We start from the raw sequence: 20641 nt of genomic DNA, 5'->3' as shown, positions 1-20641 counted from the left end.
ATTTATCTAATCATTCACAATTGGTTAAATAAAGAGGTTTATAGCCCTGTGAGATTAGCCTGCAGAATTGATAGCTTATGACTTTTACTGCCTAGTAAACAAGTTAACTCCAAATTTGGCATTTTTTTCATTGCTTTGTAGAGGTTTGCCTTAACTTAGCATCTTATTTCCACATTTGTTTCCCAACAGAACTTAAAAATCCCAGTTACTGGCTGGGTGCGGTGGCTCACGCCTGTCATCCCAGCACTTTGGGAGACCAAGGCGGGTGGATCATGAGGTCAGGAGATCAAGACTATCCTGGCTAACATGGTGAAACCCTGTCTCTACTGAAAAAAACAAAAAACAAAAAACAAAAAAATTAGCCGGGCGTGGTGGTGGGCGCCTGTAGTCCCAGCTACTCGGGAGGCTGAGGCAGGAGAATGGTGTGAACCCGGGAGGTGGAGCTTGCAGTGAGCCGAGATCGCACCACTGCACTCCAGCCTGGGTGACAGAGCGAGACTCCATCTCAAAAAAAGATCTCAGTTACCAAATGCTTGTGGAGCCAGATCATTTGTCTTTTCGCTGGTTCCCTTACTGATGAGTTAAATAAAGCTTTGGAACATGGCAACAGATGACTTTGCCTGAGAATTGAGCTTTCGCATGCTCTAGGAGTAAACCAGAACCAAGATGTACATAGGGAATTCAGCAAAGTGCTGAATAGACACTGGGTTCCTGGCCTTCTCTTGACTGGCTGACCCACCTTCACACACTTATGGGACACAATCTCTGTGTGGATCGCAAGCCCCCAGGGGATTTAAGAACTGCCCTCAGGGTGTGTCTTCAAGCCTTTTGTGAATTTATACTTATGCCATCTCACGGGGGACTGTGTCTCTTTCCATGGCTCAGCACCAGGGCTTTGAAGAGTAAGCCCCAAAACCAAGTTCTGAGTATGAGGGTTTCCTGGCTGGTGATGCTGTTGAACCCACACTGGGGAACACATACTTCCGGGCTGCTGCTGTGCAGGAGAAGGGAACAGGAAGAGGGAGACGCAGGGAGGGGCCTGGCCCAGCGCCGTGGAGGAGGAGGGGTCCTTTTCCCCTGAGTGTGGCCAAGCACCTGCAAGCCTCCTGGGAGTGGGCCTCTCTGCAGGGGCTTTGCCTTGGCTTCCAGCCACCTCCATTTGGTTCTCCAGCACACAGGCCATGAGTGTGGAGCTCACTCAAGACTAGAGAGCTCAGGTTTCCAAGTGGACAGACATTCTGCAGGATGTGCTTTGGGAAACTGAAAAAAAGCAGCCCTGATATTTCCATCCACACACTCAGGTGAAACTCAGTGATTTCCTTGGTGTTGATGCAGAACCAGAGGTTTGCTTTCACCTGCACTTCACTCCTCCCATAACCTTTGGGTTTGCTCCTGGGAAAGCAGAAAAGCCACAGTCCCATCTCCAAGGAGGAGATCCAGAGGACGAGGAGACAAGCAAGGATTCCTGGCATGTAAACAGCTGGTAAGAAGGAAAAAGGAGATGTGGAAAGGCTTCAGGGAAGCCTGGGGCTGGAGCCTACCAGAAGAGTCCTCCGGTCCTGGCAAACCCCAGGCTGGCTGGGTTGATATCGCCCCAGAAAGCAGGGGAACCCCACAGGGCCATCCCTTCAAGCTCAGCCCGACAAGAAGCCGACAGAAAGCATGTCATCTGGATGCAGGACACAGAGCGGTCTTCTCTGTGAGCACCAGCTCTCATCTGCTTTTAAGAGTTGTGGGGAAGAAAATGAGGCAAGTAACCTTTTCAGAGGAAGTATTTTTAAGATACTAACATGTTTTCCAACAGCAATTTTTTTGAAGACTCAGTCTAATTCATATTCGTGTACAGCTTCTAAAATAACCTATATTTTCACAAACTGTTTTCTTGGTAAAATTTTCAAAACATTCTCAAGGAAGATGCATTCTGTGGCAATGGTATGCCAATAAAACTAAAAGGACTTGATTTAAATAGAAAAAAAAAACCACACATAATCTTCAGATAAAAAGCCCAATTGGTTACTGACTGAAAGGCAAACCTGACAACAGACCAGGGAGGTTCAGGCCTAGCGAGGGGAGGCAGTTAAGGCTGACCGAGAGCAGGAGGAGGAAGCCGATGGGGGAGTGCACATCGGGACAGTGTTCGCTGATGAATACTTCCTGCCATAGTGGTTTCATTCCCTATGCAACCTTTTAACTGCAGGGACACAGAGCGTGGGGCCTCTGCACTGTCACTCAGATTTATTAGCATTTTTGCTAAAGGTCTTATAAGAGATCTCAGGAATAAAAGCAGCATCCAGTGGCTCTAGCCCATGTTTCCTGTGTCTGATAATAATTAACAGCTACTGCTTAGCAAGGACAGCCAAAGGCTGTACCCTCTGCCATATGCCTCCTGCGATGGTCACTCCCAGTCTCCTAATTGTAATTATAAGGACACTGAAGGTTTGTGAGGAGAAATGTTTGCTTGCAGTCACCAGGCTGTTGTATGACAGAGACAAGATGCATACCTAGATGCCTATCTGAATGGTCTAACTTCAGAGTCCTCCTCTTGACCACCTCAGTATATGCTTCCCTTGTGTGATGACCCCACAACCACAGAAAATGTGAAACATGAAGGACTATGTGACAAAGAAAGTCTGAGGTCCCAATAAACTAATGGGTTAAAAATCATAACACAACCATTAAGGGATGCTAAGATCACTGGATGAAAATCAGCCAGGGAAGAGAATGTTCACAGGGCTTCAAAGTTTGCCCCATTGCTTACTAGTAAAAGACAAAGAATGTAAAAAGTGACTTTACAGGCTGGACATGGTGGCTCACACCTGTAATCGCAGCACTTTGGGAGGCCAAGGCAGGTGGATCACCTGAAGTCAAGAGATCGAGACCATCCTAGGCAACATGGTGAAATCCCATCTCTACTAAAAATACAAAAATTAGCTGGGCGTGGTGGCAGGCGCCTGTAGTCCCAGCTACTCGCGAGGCTGAGACAGGAGAATCGCTTGAATCCGGTAGGTGGAGGTTGCAGTGAGCCGAGGTCGTGCCACTGCACTCCAGCCTGGCGACAGAGCGAGACTCCATCTCAAAAAAAAAAAAAAAAAAGTAACTTTATAAAGAGAACTCTTGTAGAAACGACCTTAGCCCAGTGAACAAACTTATCACCATGAGCCACGGTGTGCCCACTGATGTGCTGGAAAGAGAAATGGAGGAAATGTCTATCTTAATCTAAGTACGAGGAAATAATCAGACAGGTCCAGATTGTGCAGCACTCCATAAAACAAGTGGCTCAGACTCTTCAAAGACGTCAACATCACGAAAGAGAAAAACGAAAGCAGGCCTTTAGTTCTGATAAAAAGAGGCATAACTGAATTCAGTGAGTGATACTTAATTGAACACTAGGCAGGGAAAAACAGCTATGATGAATATTTGGGGGACAATCAGGGGTATCTGGGTAGGGACAACATATTTGGATAATATCACTTTATCAATATTGTATTTCACAGTGGTAATAGTGCTGTACTTTTGTAGAAGGTAGCTGTGTACTTAGGAGATGATGCCAAAGTGTGTCATGATGTCAGCAACTTACTTTCAAATGATTCAGACAAAAAGAATCAAACACACACAAACACATATTTACCACCTGTGTGTGTCTGTTTGTGTATAAACAATTGGTAAATCTGGGTGAAGAATTACGGGTGTTCACTTTTCTATTCCTTCAAGTTTGCTGTAGAATTAAAGCTTATAAAATAAAAAGTAGGCAAGAAGGTATATAAAAATTTTGTTCCAAGAGTCATAAAGCAAAAGAATGGCTATGCTCTCAGTCAGATTAAAATTGTATTATTGGATAAGAAGTAACAGGAAACAGTAAAAGTAAAAATAATTAGTGTGTTAAGATAATGGCACTATTTTTCTTTTGCTTATAATATTTAAAAAATCAATAATGGTTGCAACAGATGACAAATTTTGCACTGGTATAAATCAAGTCACTTGTCAATCACTACAGTTGTTTTTTTTTTCCTTTTAAAGAATAATGCCTATTATTCCAATCTCAAATTCTAATGCAGTATGAAATACATTTCATGACTCTTTCTCAATGAACCTTACACTTTATCTGGGCTTTAGATCTGATTTCCAGGGAGTCCACAGAACCACTACCAGCTCTATTGTCAGAGGCGGTGACTGCACTTGCCCCTTTGGCCTGCCATTAAGGCCCCACGAACACAGGACTTACTTTTCAGACACCTGATTCTGGAGGTGTGTGGCAGTCAGGCATGCAGGCCAACACTGCGCCGTCCCTGCTGGAAATGGCCCATTGTTGCCCCAGTGGAAGGTGAGACCACAGCGCCTGAGAACACTGGAAAAGACAGTGAGAATAAAAGAGAATGTTCACACTTCATGGGAAGTGAGAATTAACAATTTCAATTTTAGGATTAATTTTTTATATTTTAAAAATTAAATATTAATGTTTCAAATTTTTAAATGATTTTAAATATTTAACATGCATTTGAAATTGGCTGGTGAATCCCACACCCCCGAATCCCACTCCCAACACACGATCCCACCCTTTAATTTTTAAATGAATGTCCCATCAGGAGACAGATGAGGATCAATGGGAAAAGTCTCATCTGGTGGACTTAACAGACGTGGCGGTGAGCTCAGAGCCCCTAGAAGCTGATGTGCCAGGGGAGGGGACTGTGCTTCTCAGCGGGGCTCGAACACTGAACTCTGACTTCTGAGATTCTGGTAGAGAGGTTCTGGGGGTGTGATCTGCAGGGAACCTCAAAGTGAGGGGGCTGTTCATATTCCACACAGTGGAACCAGGTACACCCCATCTCGACTGGGCATCCCCTAGGTCAGCAGATGTCTGTATATTTTTACCTTTTTAGGCCATTTATTTTATCTAATAACTTATACATAAAATTTAATTTTTACTCAGTCAAATAACATACACAACCTCTAATTTCCACATAGGATAAGGTCCCTAGTTCAATCTAATTCCCATCTCTTCCTCTGATACCTGCTATATTTTGTTGAAATCATTTAAAATGTTGATTTGAAATTGCTTTTGATTTTTGGGTTCTACTTTCTTAGGAATCATAATTCTTAACAACTGCTTTAAGCTTCAGTTCTATATTATTACTTGTAACACAACTGTGTTTTGGTGTTTGCTAATTGATCATGAATAATTTGCATATCTCTCATTGGTCCTTTATTAATTTTTAATTTTACTAGAAGGCTTGAGTAGTACTTTCAAAATGATTTTGTAGGCAATAAATTTTCTGACTTCTAATGCAAAAGAACAGAATCAATAGCCAAGACAATCTTGAAAAAGAAGAATAAAGTTGGAAGTCTCACACATCTTGATTTTAAAACATACTATGAATCTATGGTAATCAAAGCATGTGGTGTGGGCAAAAAGACAGATTTATAGTCCACACAAGGTAGACCAGAAATAAATCCTCAAATATATGGTTAAATCGTTTTCCACAAGGGTGCCACACATGGCCTTGCATAAATGGCCAAAGGTTTTCCACAAGACCATTCCATGTGGAAAGGACAATCTTTCCAATAAATGGTGCTGGGAAAACCGCATATCCACATGCAAAATAATGAAGTTAGACTCTTACCTAACATTGTATGCAAAAATTAACTAAAAATGGATCAAAGACCTAAATGTAAGAGCTAAACCTATAAAACTCACACAGGAAAATACTGAGGAAAAGCTTTATGAAACTGGATTTGACAATTATTTCTTGGGTATGACACCACGAAAAGAACAGGCAACAAAAGGAAAAATAGATAAAATGGACTTCATCAAAATTAAAAACTTTTGTGTACCAAAGGACATTATCAACAAAGTGAAAAGGCAACCAACAGAATGACAGAAAATATTTGCAAATCATATATCTGATAAGGGATTAATATCCATAACATATACAGAACCCCTGTAACTCAACAAGAAGAACCTGAAAAAATGGAAAGATATCCCATGCTCATGGATTAGAAGAATTAATATTGTTAAAATGTCTATATTAACCAAAGTGATTTACAGATTCAATGCAATTCCCGTCAAAATACCAATGACATTCTTCACAGAAATAGAAAAAAGCCTGAAATTCATATGAAACCACAAAAGACCTTGAACAGCTGAAGTGATCCTGAGCAAAAAGAACAAAGCTAAAGGCATCATGGTTGTGTTTTCAAATGATACTACCAATCTATAGTAACCAAAAGAGCATGGTACTGGCATAGAAACAGACACATCAACCAATGGAACAGAACAGAGAACCCACAAATAAATCCACACACTTAACAGCCAACTCAGTTTCAACAAAGTTGGCAAGAACACACACCAGGGAAAACACAGTCTCTTTAATAAATGGTGCTGAGAAAACCAAATATCCATATGCAGAAGAATGAAACTAGATCCTCATCTCATCATATACAGAAATCAACTCTAAAATGGATTAAAGGCTTAAATATAAGACCTAAAATTATGGAACTACCAGAAGAAAACATTGGGGAAACACTTCAGGACATTGGTTTGGGCAAAGATTTTTGCATAAGATTTCAAAAAGGCAACAATAGAAAAATGGGTTTATATCAAGCTAAAAAGCTTCTGCACAGGAAGCAAAACAACTAAGTGAAGAGACAACCCAGAGAAAGGGGGAAAATATCTGCAAACTTCCATCTGACAAGGGATTAATAACCAGATTATATAAGGAGCTCAAACAACTCAATAGCAAAAAAACAAATAATCTGATTAGAAAATCAGCAAATGACCTGAATAGATGTTTCTCAAAAGAAGACATACAAACAGAAAACAGGCATATGAAAAAATGCTCAATATCACTAATCACCAGGGAAATGCAAATTAAAACCACAATGAGATATCATCTCACTCTAGTTAGAATTGGCTTTTATAAAAAAGACAAAAAATAACAGATGCTGGTAAGGATGTGGAGAAAGGGAATGTAAATTAGTACCATCATTATGGAAAACAGTATGGAGGTTCCTCAAGAAACTAAAAATAGAAGGACCACATATCCAGGAATCCCACGGCTGAGTATATATTAAAAGGAAAGGAAATCAGTATATTGAAGAAATATCTGCACTCCCATGTTTATTGTAGCACTGTCTGCAATAGCTGAAACGTGGAATCAACCTAAGTGTCCATCAATGGATGAATGGATAAAGAAAGTGTGGAATATATACAGAACGGAATATTACTCAACCATAAAAATAATGGAATCCCGTCATTTGCAGCATCATGGATGGAACTGGATATCATCATGTTAAGTGAAATAAGCAAGGCACAGAGAGACAAATATCACATGTTCTTACTCAAATGTGGGAGCAAAAAAAAGTGGGTCTCAAAGAGGTAGAGAGTAGAACAGTGTTTACCAGGGGCTGGGAAGGGAAGTGGGGAGGAAGAGAAGTTGACTAATGGGCACCAACATGCAGTTGGATAGAAGAAATTCATTCTTGTATTTGATACCATAGTAGGAAAATGATAGTTAACAATAAACTACTTCCTGGGTCCCTTTCTTTGTTCACATTTTTTCCCTCAGGAATTTTCAAAACTCCTGTTTTCTCCTGGCTCCACTCAAGACCCAGCTCAAATGCCATGTTTGTCACGAAGCTTACCTAAGAACAGCCTTTGACCCAGGGGTCCTGTCTCCCATGCTGGACTTGGTCCCCTGCCCACCTCTGGGGTGTTCACTCCACGGACGTGCAGTCCCCTGGCTGAAAGAATGAAGGATGCCCACCCCCACCACTAACAACCCTCACACACTTGCACTGGGACAGACACTTTTCCTGGCTTTATCTCTTGGTGGATGGCTTTATCTCTTAGTCTTCCTAAAAGCTTCAAGAGAAGAGTGAGTTTCTAGGAAATGGGCTTTAATTCACACAGTGATCACTCGGTCTGTCTCTCAGGAAGGTGCAGGAGAGATGCTCAGGCCAGGTGTTCATCTCTGCCTCAGGCCTGCTAGTAAGTGGTTTTGTTTATGGTTCCCTAATGGAATAAAAACTTACAGCATGTCCTGGACGAATTTTCAGGAAATTTAAATTCTGGAGAAGTCTGTAACAACTTCTGGAAATAAAGAGGAGAGTCTCTTTTTTTTTTGTACTGTAAGATACTGTAAGTCCAAAATATGTCCGTAATGAATTATGTAAAGATACAGAAGGCTGAAGTGCTTCTTGAAAATGCCACTACCTCTAGAGGGAAATGCAAGAAAATAGCCATTGGGTAAAATAAGTTCAGATCCACAACAAAACAAAAGGGAGGGGGGTAAGGCTATCAGCTAAACTAAGGGTGGGATGAATGCTTCCTGCACATTTTAATCCTGGGGAGAACAGTAGTTTCTAAAACAAAACAGGCATTTTAGACCTGTATTCTGGCTCTGAAATGCAGAATGTGGCTGGATTGGATGTGGTGATGCCAGGCAGACACACCCTTCTCAAAGCCCCCAGGGCTGACAGCGGGCCCAGGGAGTGTGCTAACGCTGTGGACACACCGCGTGTCTGGGGCGCTCCAGGTGAGAGCAGAGACCCAGGTCTGTCAGGTGCAAGTGAAAGCCCAAAGAGGCTGTTCTAGCTGAATCCTCCTCTCCATCCAGCCCCTTGGTGTCACTGAAGGCCAGCACACACGGGAAACCCATCAGCCGGGCTTCCCCAGGTCTGGGATCAGTACTAGTCATGTCCCCTACTTGCCTATGGTCTAAAAAGCCACCACACCTGCTTTGTCCCTGCATCACCACGGGACTTGGGCTGTTCCAATGGTCCTGGTGAAGATGAAAAGGGACCTCTGAAGATGCTCCAGGGACCCGAAGGATTCACTGCTCTAAGCTGACACTATTGTAAAGTAAAAATACAAGGCACTGAGAAGGGCTCAAGATGAAGGCAGGACTACGGGACCAGAGATGCTTCCAGGACTGACTGCTGGGAAACAGCAGGTACAAAATGAGCAGCAGCTACCCAGCAGGGTGCCATGTGACCTTAGTGACCCCGGAGTGGCGCTCAGAAGCCAGGACACTGCCCTCACAGAGCCAGTGGAGGGGGCCCACGCAGCGCAGGTGTGTGAAGGGTCAACAGGCACTGGCATGCTCTCTGGCATCCCTCGGCTGGGGGCCTCCTCCCTCAGGCTACCTGGATCCTGGGCTCTTACCGCTCTCCTTGTCCCCCACTCCTACCTAGGTTTTGCTGTCTTTTTTCATTCAGTTCTCCCTCTCCCTGTCATCACACCCCTCCACCCTTCACAAGCCCAGATCCCCTCAACCCCCCTTCCCCCGGGAAACCTTTGCTCATCATTCAACCAAAAAACTTTTTGTAACACCAGTTTACTTTATTATTATCTACTCTCAGCAAGTCTCAAGAATTTTTAAGGATACATTGTTACAATAGTTACCATGTTATAATAGTCCCCATATATCCCTTGAACTTATTTATCCTGCCTAAATGAAATTTGTATCCTTTGACCAACATCTCAACCCACCCCACCTCCCCCAGCACCTGGCCAACACCATTCTGCTCTCTGCTTCCGTGAGTTCACCTTTTTTGGATTCCACACATAAGTGAGATCATGCAGTATTTGTCTTTCTGTGCCTGGCTTATTTCACTTAACATGATGCCCTCCAGGTTCATTCTTGCCATATGTGACAGGATTTCATTCTTTTTATGACTGAATATTATCCATTGTGTATCTATACACGTTTTACATTTTCTTTTTTTTTTTTTTTTTTTTTGAGACAGAGTCTTGCTCTGTCACCCAGGTTGGAGTGCAGTGGCGCGATCTCGGCTCACTGCAAGCTCCGCCTGCCGGGTTCACGTCATTCTCCTGCCTCAGCCTCCTGAGTAGCTGGGACTACAGGCACCCACCACCACGCCTGGCTAATTTTTTGTATTTTTAGTAGAGACGGGGTTTCACCGTGTTAGCCAGGATGGTCTCGATCCCCTGACCTCGTGATCCGCCCACCTCGGCCTCCCAAAGTGCTGGGGTTACAGGCGTGAGCCACCGCCCCGGCCACGTTTTACATTTTCTTTATCCATTCATCTTTGGATGAGCACAGGGTGGTTCCATGTCTTGGCTATTGTGGATAGTGCTGCAGTGAACATAGGAGTGCAGGTAACTCTTTGATGTACTGATTTCATTTCCTTTGACTATATACCAGCAGTGGGATGGCTGGATTACATGGTAGTTCTAGTTTTATTTTACTGAGGAACCGCCACACTTTTTCCGTAATGGCTGCACTAATTTACATACCCACCAACACTGTACTAGTGTTCTCTTTTCTCCACACTTTCACCAACACGTATCTCTTCTCTTGTGGGTAACAGTCATCCAAACAGACATGAAGTGATTGATATTTCACTGTAGTCAGCTAGCAAAACTTTAGTTTATTATTCATTTGCATAAAATCCAGATCCTGCACAAACCAGCAACATTTTAATGAGCACTTACTATGCTAGGAGGTGTAGGCCACGAGGCAGAAATAAAGTTGAGTGGTTTTGCCGTCAAGAGCCCTGTAATCTGAAACAGGAGACAGACCTGGAGACTGACACCCGCAGCTCAGCCCGCTCCCTGGTGAACGCCTGAGATGCAGAGCAGCCCCCGTCCAAGGGAAGTCACGGCTTGCCTTGTCATCTGCCTCCGGGGAAAGGGAACTCTTCAGAGAGAAGGAGATACTTGGCTTGGGCCTTAAACTCTAAATAAGAGTTCCCAGAAGGGTAAGGAGGGCAGAGGTCTCTGGTGTTTGCTGAGGGCCTATTCTGTGCCAGGCCTTCACTAGGCAGGCATTGCTAACTTCTCTCAGGTAAATTCTCTCACACACACCTGAGGAAGAGGGGCTCAGGCACACACAGGCCTGTCCTTCTACTGCCCCACGGAGGAGAATTCTCCGCAGATTTTCTCCAGTGCAGACATGGGTTGGGGGTGGGTGGCCTGCACACGAAGGAGTCCCCTGAGCAGGGGGTTGGGGAAGGATTTGGTGTAGCTGCGGGTGTGAGTGACAGGGCACAGGGTTGAGGGGGGCACAAGGGGCTGGGGGTGGACAGGCAGAATGGGCTGTCCCTGCAGCACCATTACAGAGAACTCCTCTCCACAGAGGGGCAGCCGCTGGCGTGTTGAGGCCAGCAAGGGCTCAGGCCAGAAGCGCATTTTGAGCGTGCCTGCTGGCAGCATGCTGGGGACTGCCAGTCTGGCAAGTCACAGGCAGCACCTAAATCTGCTGAAGGGAGAGGGTCTCTGCAGCTCTCCTGCAGTTCCCTCTGATCTGAAATCTTGGTGCCTTCCCTGCACTAGGGCAGAATCTGGGCCCATCGCCTTCTCACCATCTAGATGATGCCTGTGTGCCTCTGCACCCGGGCCCCGTGTCCTCCATGGACTGTGCCTGCTCCACTTCCTCCCACACCTGCCTGCATCCCTCACCAACATATCACACATATTCCACTCCATCCCAGTGTGCGAGCCGGCCCTTCAGCTCCAGAGAGACCTCAAAGGGCCTGTGTCCCAGTGCTCAGAGGCACGCGTCCTGGTGAGAGGTCAGACCCAACGGCTGCTGGTCCACCACCCAGATGACTCAGAGGGACTCAGAGGGAGTTAGCGGAGTTCCCATGAGCAGCAGCCTCTGTCACCCAGATGGGGGTGGGTGCCCACTTGGAGGGCCTGGGGCCAGGTGTCTGCAGCCTTTCAGAGCAAATGCAGCCAGGAGAGGAAAATAGAGGAGGAGTGGGGAGTCCAAGCATCTTGTTGCTCAGCAAAAGCTGCCTTTGTGCCCAGGCATCAAGGTCAGGGAGAGGAGACTGCTGCTCTGTCACCTGTCCTGGGTGTGGGGTGGCCTCTGCTAACTTCTTCCCTGGGGGAACTATAACTCTAAAATGTGTTCAAGTTTCCCAAGAGAAAGAGGGTGCTGGCTGCTCACCTCTGCTTCCTGACCTCACTGTTAACCCAACTTCTCAGAACCAAGATAAATCATCCCTTTTTTAGCTTCTACTTGCTTTCAATTGCCTAAGCACAACCAACATTGCATTTGACCTGCACACCAATCCCAGGGCCCAGTGACATGTCCAGGTGACCTGGGATTTCCCGAGTGGACTCCTCCCCTCTACCTGCCTCCTTCCCCAGGCGGCCCCTCCTCACCCTCAGGTTTAATGCTGCTACCTCCTTAGAAAGGCCCTCCTTGGCTGCCCTTTATGAATGATGTTTCTCAACCTTTGCTGTCACTCACTCACCCACATTACTTTCTGTGGCGTTAGCAATCACCCTGTTAATCTGTTTACTCGCATGCTGTCTGCTGAATCTTGCTAGGCTGCTATCCCATTCGGGTTGTGACCAGGGTCCTCCTGAAGCCTGGCCTCCAGGGGGCCACAAAGACCCAGCGTCTGTGGTTTTAGGCTCAGGGGCCACAGAAGACAAGGGTTTCAGAAGAATGAGACTTAGAGCTACTTGGGGTTCAGGAGGTGAAATTGAAAAGATTCTTCTACCTGACCCTGAAGCAGAAGAGGACATTTCTGAGTGTCTCCTCGTACCAGGCATGCGCCATATTCTCTATCATTACATTTTCACAACAACCCTGCGCTGCAGGGGCTAGCTAGCATCACACCTGCTTAAAGACCACCTGTCCTGAGCCCAGAGGAGTGAGACAACCTGCCCAGGGTCACACAACCAGTCACCTGCAACCTGAACAGCAAAGCCAATGCGCTGTGTTAGCATTGCGCCATTTCTCGAAATGTGCTGAGATGTGAACAATGCTTTATCCCAGCTTGAAGACACTGGTCACCTTATCTCCACAGCCCCTGAAGCCCCAGAGGCATCTCCGCCATCTAAAAAGTCATTCCCTGATAATCGAGCCCATGGTCCTGCTACTGCTCATCAGGCAGCTTCACTGACTCCCACCAGGACAGCAGCCAAGCATTGTTCCTTCCTCAAACTACACACATTCTTTCCTAACCCTTCCCTCCCCTCCAAGGATATTTTCTATTTCAAAATCGTTAAAATTATGCTAGTGACAATTCCATCTTTTATTAAATATAATTTTTTTCAAACCAGGAATGGAAACAGTCCCTTATTCTCTGGTTATTTGTTCAAATTTTCACATCAAAGCTAAGCAGCTGAAACACATTTTACTCTAATACCCTGGCATTTATCCAACTTGGTCCCTTTTATTTATGTTCCTTCCCTGGTATCATGACCTGTTGATACTTCTGCAGAGACCAGCAAGAGGGGTCCCAGAGAGTCATCCCTCCACCCCAGCTCTTCTCCTTCCAGTTGACCCAACCCATGTGGCACTGACAAGCCTGAACAGTGGTTCTCAAAGTGAGGCCCCTGGCCCCCAGCATCAGCACTGCTGGAGATTTGTTAAAAATGCAAGTTCTCAGGCTCCACCTAGACCTGCTGAGTTGGAAGTGGGGGCACTGCCCAGCAAGCTGTGTTTGCACCAGCCCTCTGGGGTGGAGAACCACTCATCTAAAGGCTACCGAGGCCTGGGCCCCAGCCTCTGCTAATAGCTTCATCTTCTCTCTTTCTTCTTAAGCAGTCTCAGGAGCACATTTGTTCTCATTTCTCAGGAGACCCGCCTTTCACAGTTATCCCTTTGCTGCTCTCATACCTGCAAGCTCCTCCTCTCTAATCCTTTTTACTCCCAGCTTGTTTCAAACACACCCGGGGGCCTCTTGTTGTGAAGGCATCTGCCCTCCTGTCCCACAGAATCAGTTCCCGCCTCCCTTCTCCTGGTGTGTTGCTTTGGCAGTGTACTTACTCTTTCTGAGCATCACATTGCCCTTCTTAAAAATAAGAGTAATGGCACCTATTTAACAGGATGGTGATAAGGACTTACTGAGATAACATTCGTAGAGGGATGTGCTAGGAGGGTTAATTCCAGCAGGTCTGAAATTGGCCTGAGCTGCTTTGCTGAAGTACGAGACATTCTGCATCAAACTATGAAAGGCAGTGATTAATACTTTTTTTTTTTTTTTTTTTTTTGAGATGGAGTCTCGCTTTGCCACCCAGGCTGGAGTGCAGTGGTGCGATCTCAGCTCACTGCAAGCTCCACCTCCTGAGTTCATGCCATTCTCCTGCCTCAGCCTCCCGAGTAGCTGGGACTACAGGCGCCCGCCACCACGCCCGGCTAATTTTTTGTACTTTTAGTAGAGATGGGGTTTCACCGTGTTAGCCAGGATGGTCTCAATCTCCTGACCTCGTGATCCGCCCGCCTCGGCCTCCCAAAGTGCTGGGATTACTGGCGTGAGCCATCGCACCCGGCCAATACTGTTGTTTTTACCCGTGGGTCCGAGGTGAGTTTCAGGGTAGGTTCTGCCTGTTTGTCCTCATTGTTTATGGATGACTGTGAGACTGATGTTTTGCACGTGTTTGGGGAGGGGGCTCTGATGTTAGAGCTGCTCATGTAGCAATAATGTGCTTATGTGACCAGAAGGCTGCAAAAAGCCCCACTGTGACTCCACTGGGCTGCGTGGATCTGAGGTGTTCCTTCCTTGCATGGGTACGTGGTTCCGAGAGAAAAAACACATCTGGCTCAGGCCTGCAGAGGGAAGACCATTGGAGGCAGCCCGTATCGGCCTCAGTGTGTCCACACTGCTTGCTCTGAGGCAGCCTTTGGATGCAAGGCAGGTCCTTGCCTTCATGCTTGTTGCTCTATCACATCCCTTCTTGTCAATAAACCACAGACTTGTGAGCACTGTCCTTCTGGGCCCTGTGAGTCTTCTTTAGCAATCGAATCTGTCTGACTGCGCTGTTAGTGGAAGTGACGTTACAGTTATGTTTCCCTCTGCATTGTTAACAAAGAAAATTCCCTGTTGAACCGCTCACAATAATTGCTGTCCACTTCTTTCTTCATCACTTACTGCGTTCTCTGCACTCTCCTATCCCCTGCCTACATCTGGATTCCATCCCTACCACCTGACTGAAACCACAGCCACAGAAGTCACCCCCTGCTAATGACGGAATCACTGACCTTCTAGCTCTTAGTTAACACAGTGGTCATGCTGCCATTGTGAACTCTTCCTTATACATGGCACCATCATCCTTCATCTCCCCACGACTTCAGTTTGTCTCACTGATTCCTTTTCCAACAAACTATGGGTATTCTCCCAACTTTGTGCTTGGCTTGGCTCTTTCTGTTGGATAACTGATTTATACTCACTAAATATTCATAACACCTGTGTTCGGGTGACTCCCAAGTGGCCCTCTCTAGTCTTGTTCTCTTTTCCACCCTTTGCCCTGCTCTCTGATGGGATGTGCACTTACACGTCTCACAGGTACCTCAGATTTCTTAGAACCAAACCTGCCTTCCTTGCAAAACTTACCTGTTCTTCAAGTCAGTCAAGACTGAAAAATTGAATTCTCCCTTGACTTCGCCCTCTCCATCTCAATGAGTTCTGAACTTCAGATCTCTTTCTCTGTGAATCAGTCTTTCTCTTTTCCTCTGTCTCTTTCTCTGTATCTCTCACTCCTCACCTCTTCTCCCCAATTCAGGCAATCATAAAATCATGATATTCATAGAGAATGGCCTTTTTCTGCTTTCCTTGTCCCTTGTATAGATGCCACTATCACAGGCCACCTGATATCATTCAGTGGTGTAAGAATATGTCTTGAGGATTTTCCTCTGAGCCCCCAAACCTTTCTAACTCAAAGGTGTGATGAGAAAAAGATACCTGCATCATAGTCTCAAAGTATCTCCTGCAAGATATTTACTAATGACAAATGGAAAAATGGTAACTTTGCACTAGAGAAACCTGACAGATAGCACCTTAGTCAAGGGACCAAGGTCAACATGCCAGTATAAGACATATCAATAGCATGTGCACCAGCACAGAAACAAGCAGAGCACATCAGCCGTCTCCTTCCCTGTAGTGCACAGCCTCACCCTGATCTAGTTGTGAGAAAATATTAGACAAACCCAAATGGAAGGTCATTCTACCAAATAACTGACCAGTTCTCTTCAAAAGTATAAGGGTAATGACAAGGAAAGACTTAGGAACTGTCGCAGATTAAAAGCGACTAATGAGACATAATAACCAAATGCAGGGTAGGACCTAGATTGGATTCTAGAACAGAAAGAGGACATTAGTGAGAAAAGTAGTGAAATTTTTGTAATGATGTTGGTAGAATAGTTAACACGGTTGTGTCAATGTTAATTCTCTGGTTTTGATAATAGTACTGTGGTTTCGTAAAGTGTTAACATTTGGAAAAACTCGGTGAAAGGTAAATGGGAACTCTAAACTTTTTACAATTTTTTCCTAACTTAAAAAATTATTATTTAAAGTTATTATAATTTAAAAAAATATTTAAAATAAAAAGCTTAAAAAGATGACACAAATGATCAATATCTGGAATGAAAAAGGAATATTGGCCCTGGAGGCATCAAAAGGATAATAAGGTAATATTATGAACAATTCTACATATATAAATTTAGCAACTTAGATGAAATGGACCAATTCCTTGAGAAGCCCAAACTACCTTAATTAATCTAATATGAAACCGGTCATTTGGATAGTCCTACAACTATGGAAAATTAAATTCAGAATTTAAAAGCCTCCTCCAAAGAAATGTCCAGGCCTAGATGGTTTCACTGGAGAATTCTACCAAACATTTAAATATGAATTAACACCTATTCTACTGTCTCTTCCAGAAAACAGAAGAAATGAAAACACTTTCCGACACTTCTACGAAGCCACAATTACTCTCATACCAAAACCAGACAAACCCAGTGTAAACAAATAAAACTATAGACCAATATCCCTCATGAATATAGATGCAAAAATCTTTAACAAAATATTACTGATGGGATTCATCAATATTGAAAAGTAATTATATACCATTATTAAGTGGGGTTCATTTCAGAAATGTAAGTCTGGTTTGATCTTCAAAAATCAGTCAATGTAATCCACCATATTAACAGACTAAAAAGAAAAATCACATGATCACATCAGTTGATGAAGGAAAAAAATTCATAAAATTCAACATCCCCTTCATGAAATAAGAATAGAATACTTTCAACTTAACAAAGAGCATTCACAAAAAACCTACAGCTAACATCATATTTAATGGTGAAAGAATGGTTTTCCCCTAAGATTGGGAACAAGCAAGGATGTCTGCTCTCATCACTCTTATTCAGCATAGTGCTGGATATTCTTGCCAGTGCAATCAGGTAAGAGAAGGAAATGAATGGCATGTATATTAGAAGAAAAGGAGTAAAACTTATTTGCAGATGACAAGATGTCTAATGCAGAAAACCTCAAGGACTCTGAAAACTTTTAGAACTAAGAAGTGACTACGGCAAGGTCACATGACACAAGGTCAACATAAAAATCAGTTGTATCTCTCTGTAATATCAGTGAACGTGTGGACACTAACATTAAAAATGTAATTCTATTTATAATCATTCAATAAAAATAGTTATAAATCTAACAAAATATGCATAGGACTTGTATGCTGAACACCATAAAACATTAAAGATATAAAAATCTACTAATTAAATAAATGTAGAAACATACTGTGTCCACAGATTGAAAAACTCAATACGCTAATGATGCCAATACTTCCCAAATTGATGTATAAATTGACAGACAATTCCTGTCAAAATTCAGCAAGATTTTTAATAGATATGGACAAAGTTATTGTAATATTTATATGGAGAGGTAGAAGAATTAGAATAGTTAAAATAATTTTGAAAAAGAAGGATAAAGTGGGAAGAATCAATCTAGCCAATTTTAAGGTTTACCATATGACTACAGTAATGAAGACGGCAGTACTGGTGAAGGAATAGAAATATAGATTGAAGGAACAGAATAGAGAACCCGGAACTGATTTTTGACAGAGGTGAAAAAGCAACTTGACAGAGGAAAGATGGTCTTGGCAACAAATGGTGCTGGAACAAGGGACAGGCATAGGCACAAAAAACAAGAAAGAAAGAAAGAAAGAAAGAGACTTGACCTAAGTCTCATACCTTGTATACAGTAAAAATTAACTTAAAATGGATCACAAACTTGAATGTAAAATATAAGACTACAAAACTTTTTGAAAATAAACATACGAGAAAATCTTAGGGATTTAGGGTTAGGAAAGAAGTCGTTACTAGGCTTCATACCAAAAGCATGATCCATAAAAGTAAAAATTGATAAACTTGAACTTTTTGTTCTGTGAAAGAGAGTAAAAAGACCAGCTACTGATTGGGAGAAAATATTTGCAAACCATGAATCTGACAAAGGACTACTATCTAGAATATATAAAGAATTCTCAAAACTCAACAGTTAAATCCATTAGAAAATTGGCAAAAAAACCACAAAGAGACATTTCACTGAAGAGAAGGTATATATGACAAATAAGCACATAAAAATGTTCAACAACCTTAGCCATCAAGGAAATGCAAATTAAAACACAATGAGTTATCATTACACATCTATCAGAACAGCAAAAATAAAAAACAGTGACAACACCAATAGTTGACAAGGACGCAGAGAAACGGATCACTCACATGCTGTTTGTGGGAACGAAAATGACACAGCCACTCTGGAAAGCAGTTTCTCCTAAAACTAAACATAAAACTACCATGCAACCCAGCAACTGGATTCCTGAGCACTTATCCTAGAGAAATGGAGTCTTCACATTCACCCAAACACCTTTATAAGGATGTTCATAGCAGCTTTCTTCATAATAGCCTGGAACCAGAAATGATCCAGAACCCTCAAGGAGTGAATGACTAAACAAAATGTGGAATGCCCATACCATGAAATACTACTCAGTAAGGAAAAGGAATGAACTCTTGATAACCACAACAACTTGGATGAATATCCAGGGAATTATTCCAAGTAAAAAAAAAATCCCCAAATTACATATTATATGATTCCATTGATATAACATTATTACAATACAAAATTGTAGAAATGGAGACAGATTAATGGTTGCCAGAGGTTAAGAATGAGGTTGGGTAAGTGACTGTGGATATAAAGAGCAGCACTGGGGAACCTTGTGGGATGGAAATGTTCTACATATTGACTACATCAACATTAATGTCCTGGTTGTGATATTGGACCATAGTTTTGCACAATGCTACCATTGGGAGAAAACAGGTAAAGGGGACACTGGAACTCTATTATTTCTTACAACTGCAGATCAATATACAATCATCTCAAAATAAAATGTTTAATTAAAAACATACTTTGCCCACTCCTGGAGACCCTTTACAGCTCTTCCTTAAATACTGATTTTTCCTTAAGTACTGCCTGTATCAGGGCACTACTGTCACTGAACATTTTGAGGCACTTTTTTTTTTTTATCTTACCAAGTCTCTGCCTAGCTTTATTGGGCTTTCACATCTTGACCTGTGCCGACCTATTTCTCAAATATACCTATTTGAGTTACATAAGTTCTGAATTTTTGTTACAGTCACTCATGGCAGTTTAATCTGGACAAATCATGGACTCTGCCAATTTCTGTTTCCTCATCCACTTCCTTGCTGTTCACAGAGCTACTTTAATTAAAGATATCTCTTTAATTAAAGGTACTGTGAAAATTCAGACATATAATGTCCCCAGTGTTCCCCCTCAAAAACATTGTCCAGAAAGAAAATGAAGTCAGACACTATGCTGACTTCTAGCCAAGGCCATTGCAAGCTGACGGTTCACAAGATGCACTCTTTTCTTCTGGAGATCTGTCCTGGAATATTCTGTAACATTGACATGACTGCCATAATTTGCAGAAGCAAAGTTCTATTCTTCCTCTTAAAACTCCGAAACAGTGTTTATTTTATGAAAATTCTCAGGGTGTGATCAAAGAAAACCCCCCTGGATACGCCGTGGATTTCATACAGTACTTTTGCCCAGCTGTGTTGGCATCTGCTGGTGCTCATCAGAAATTAACGTTCTCAGGCCCCACTCAGACCTACTGAACCAGAACCCACATTTCAACTGTATCGCCAGAGATGCTTACACACAGCAAAATTTGAGAAGTGCTGCTCTATAATGGATATAATGTAATCCCTGGCTCACAGGGTTGATGTGAGAATTAGCAGAATACCCGGTACTTACTCTTTCCTTTTCCATCACAGTCAGCCTAGTGTCAGGAAATTACTTCCCTCTAGCCCTTCCTTGCACTGGCCAAGAAATGAAGACAACCTTTCAGACACGATCGGCCCACAGGATGGAGAAGCTCAAGGCCCTGATGAGTTGGGACCCATTTATCCTGTTCTAGTTTCCTGCAGCTGCAGAAACTCACATGAAGTTGCTGGTTAAGTGACAGCTTTTGCTTCCCACTTGAACAGCTGTTTTTTATTTGCTTCTTTGCTTTTATCTTGTAGTCTATACTCACTGTCCCATTTCCGTCAGTACTGACTTTCATCTTGTTAGATTCAGTGCACCACAATTCCTGCCTAGGACAAGCCATCTGGACTCCTTTTGGCTCTAGTTGCCCGGCCTAACCTCCAGGCAGAATCACACACTCACAGCTCTGCGTACTCACAGGACCGGATCCACACCCCAGGGACCTCACTATCTTAAGGAGCATCCCATCTCATTCACCTGCTATCTCCTCACTGGGAAGTTCCTGGAGATCAAGAACTGACACATGCATATTTGCAACCCTACGACTTAGTGCTGAATAAAACTTAACCAAATAAATGACAATTTGATCTGTGGG

The 20641-nt window shown here is 43.3% G+C and overlaps 1 pseudogene across 3 annotated transcripts in view, besides 7 other annotated features; it reads right to left on the bottom strand.

Annotated features, from left to right (window-relative positions):
• LOC100288637 (OTU deubiquitinase 7A pseudogene) overlaps nucleotides 1-20641 on the bottom strand; it is a 126895-nt pseudogene that overhangs the window by 52445 nt on the left and 53809 nt on the right. For all 3 annotated transcript variants that reach the window (NR_038253.1, NR_038254.1, NR_038255.1), the window contains one exon: nucleotides 4223-4345. The product of NR_038253.1 is annotated as an OTU deubiquitinase 7A pseudogene, transcript variant 1 (transcript). The remainder of the gene's footprint in view (nucleotides 1-4222; nucleotides 4346-20641) is intronic.
• Nucleotides 1-20641: part of a biological region, named in NCBI's record as "proximal CHRNA7 low-copy repeat recombination region", that runs on past both edges of the window. NCBI's record gives its function as "recombination_partner: LOC106736477".
• Nucleotides 8906-9002: a non allelic homologous recombination region, noted in NCBI's record as "sub-region 2, recombines with sub-region 2' within the distal CHRNA7 low-copy repeat recombination region". NCBI's record gives the evidence for it as "EXISTENCE:nucleotide sequencing assay evidence [ECO:0000219][PMID:20506139]".
• Nucleotides 10860-11455: an enhancer, noted in NCBI's record as "H3K27ac-H3K4me1 hESC enhancer chr15:31001313-31001908 (GRCh37/hg19 assembly coordinates)". NCBI's record gives its function as "activates a minimal SCP1, AML or CMV promoter by ChIP-STARR-seq in primed H9 embryonic stem cells {active_cell/tissue: H9 hESC(primed)}" and the evidence as "EXISTENCE:reporter gene assay evidence [ECO:0000049][PMID:30033119]".
• Nucleotides 11456-12051: an enhancer, noted in NCBI's record as "H3K27ac-H3K4me1 hESC enhancer chr15:31000717-31001312 (GRCh37/hg19 assembly coordinates)". NCBI's record gives its function as "activates a minimal SCP1, AML or CMV promoter by ChIP-STARR-seq in primed H9 embryonic stem cells {active_cell/tissue: H9 hESC(primed)}" and the evidence as "EXISTENCE:reporter gene assay evidence [ECO:0000049][PMID:30033119]".
• Nucleotides 12567-12706: a non allelic homologous recombination region, noted in NCBI's record as "sub-region 3, recombines with sub-region 3' within the distal CHRNA7 low-copy repeat recombination region". NCBI's record gives the evidence for it as "EXISTENCE:nucleotide sequencing assay evidence [ECO:0000219][PMID:20506139]".
• Nucleotides 15435-15479: a non allelic homologous recombination region, noted in NCBI's record as "sub-region 4, recombines with sub-region 4' within the distal CHRNA7 low-copy repeat recombination region". NCBI's record gives the evidence for it as "EXISTENCE:nucleotide sequencing assay evidence [ECO:0000219][PMID:20506139]".
• Nucleotides 20370-20567: a non allelic homologous recombination region, noted in NCBI's record as "sub-region 5, recombines with sub-region 5' within the distal CHRNA7 low-copy repeat recombination region". NCBI's record gives the evidence for it as "EXISTENCE:nucleotide sequencing assay evidence [ECO:0000219][PMID:20506139]".

This window comes from Homo sapiens, chromosome 15 (genome assembly GCF_000001405.40).
Source record: "Homo sapiens chromosome 15, GRCh38.p14 Primary Assembly".
Lineage (NCBI taxonomy): Eukaryota > Metazoa > Chordata > Mammalia > Primates > Hominidae > Homo > Homo sapiens.
Note: the sequence above shows the minus strand (reverse complement) of the source record. Positions and strands in the feature narration are given on the sequence as shown.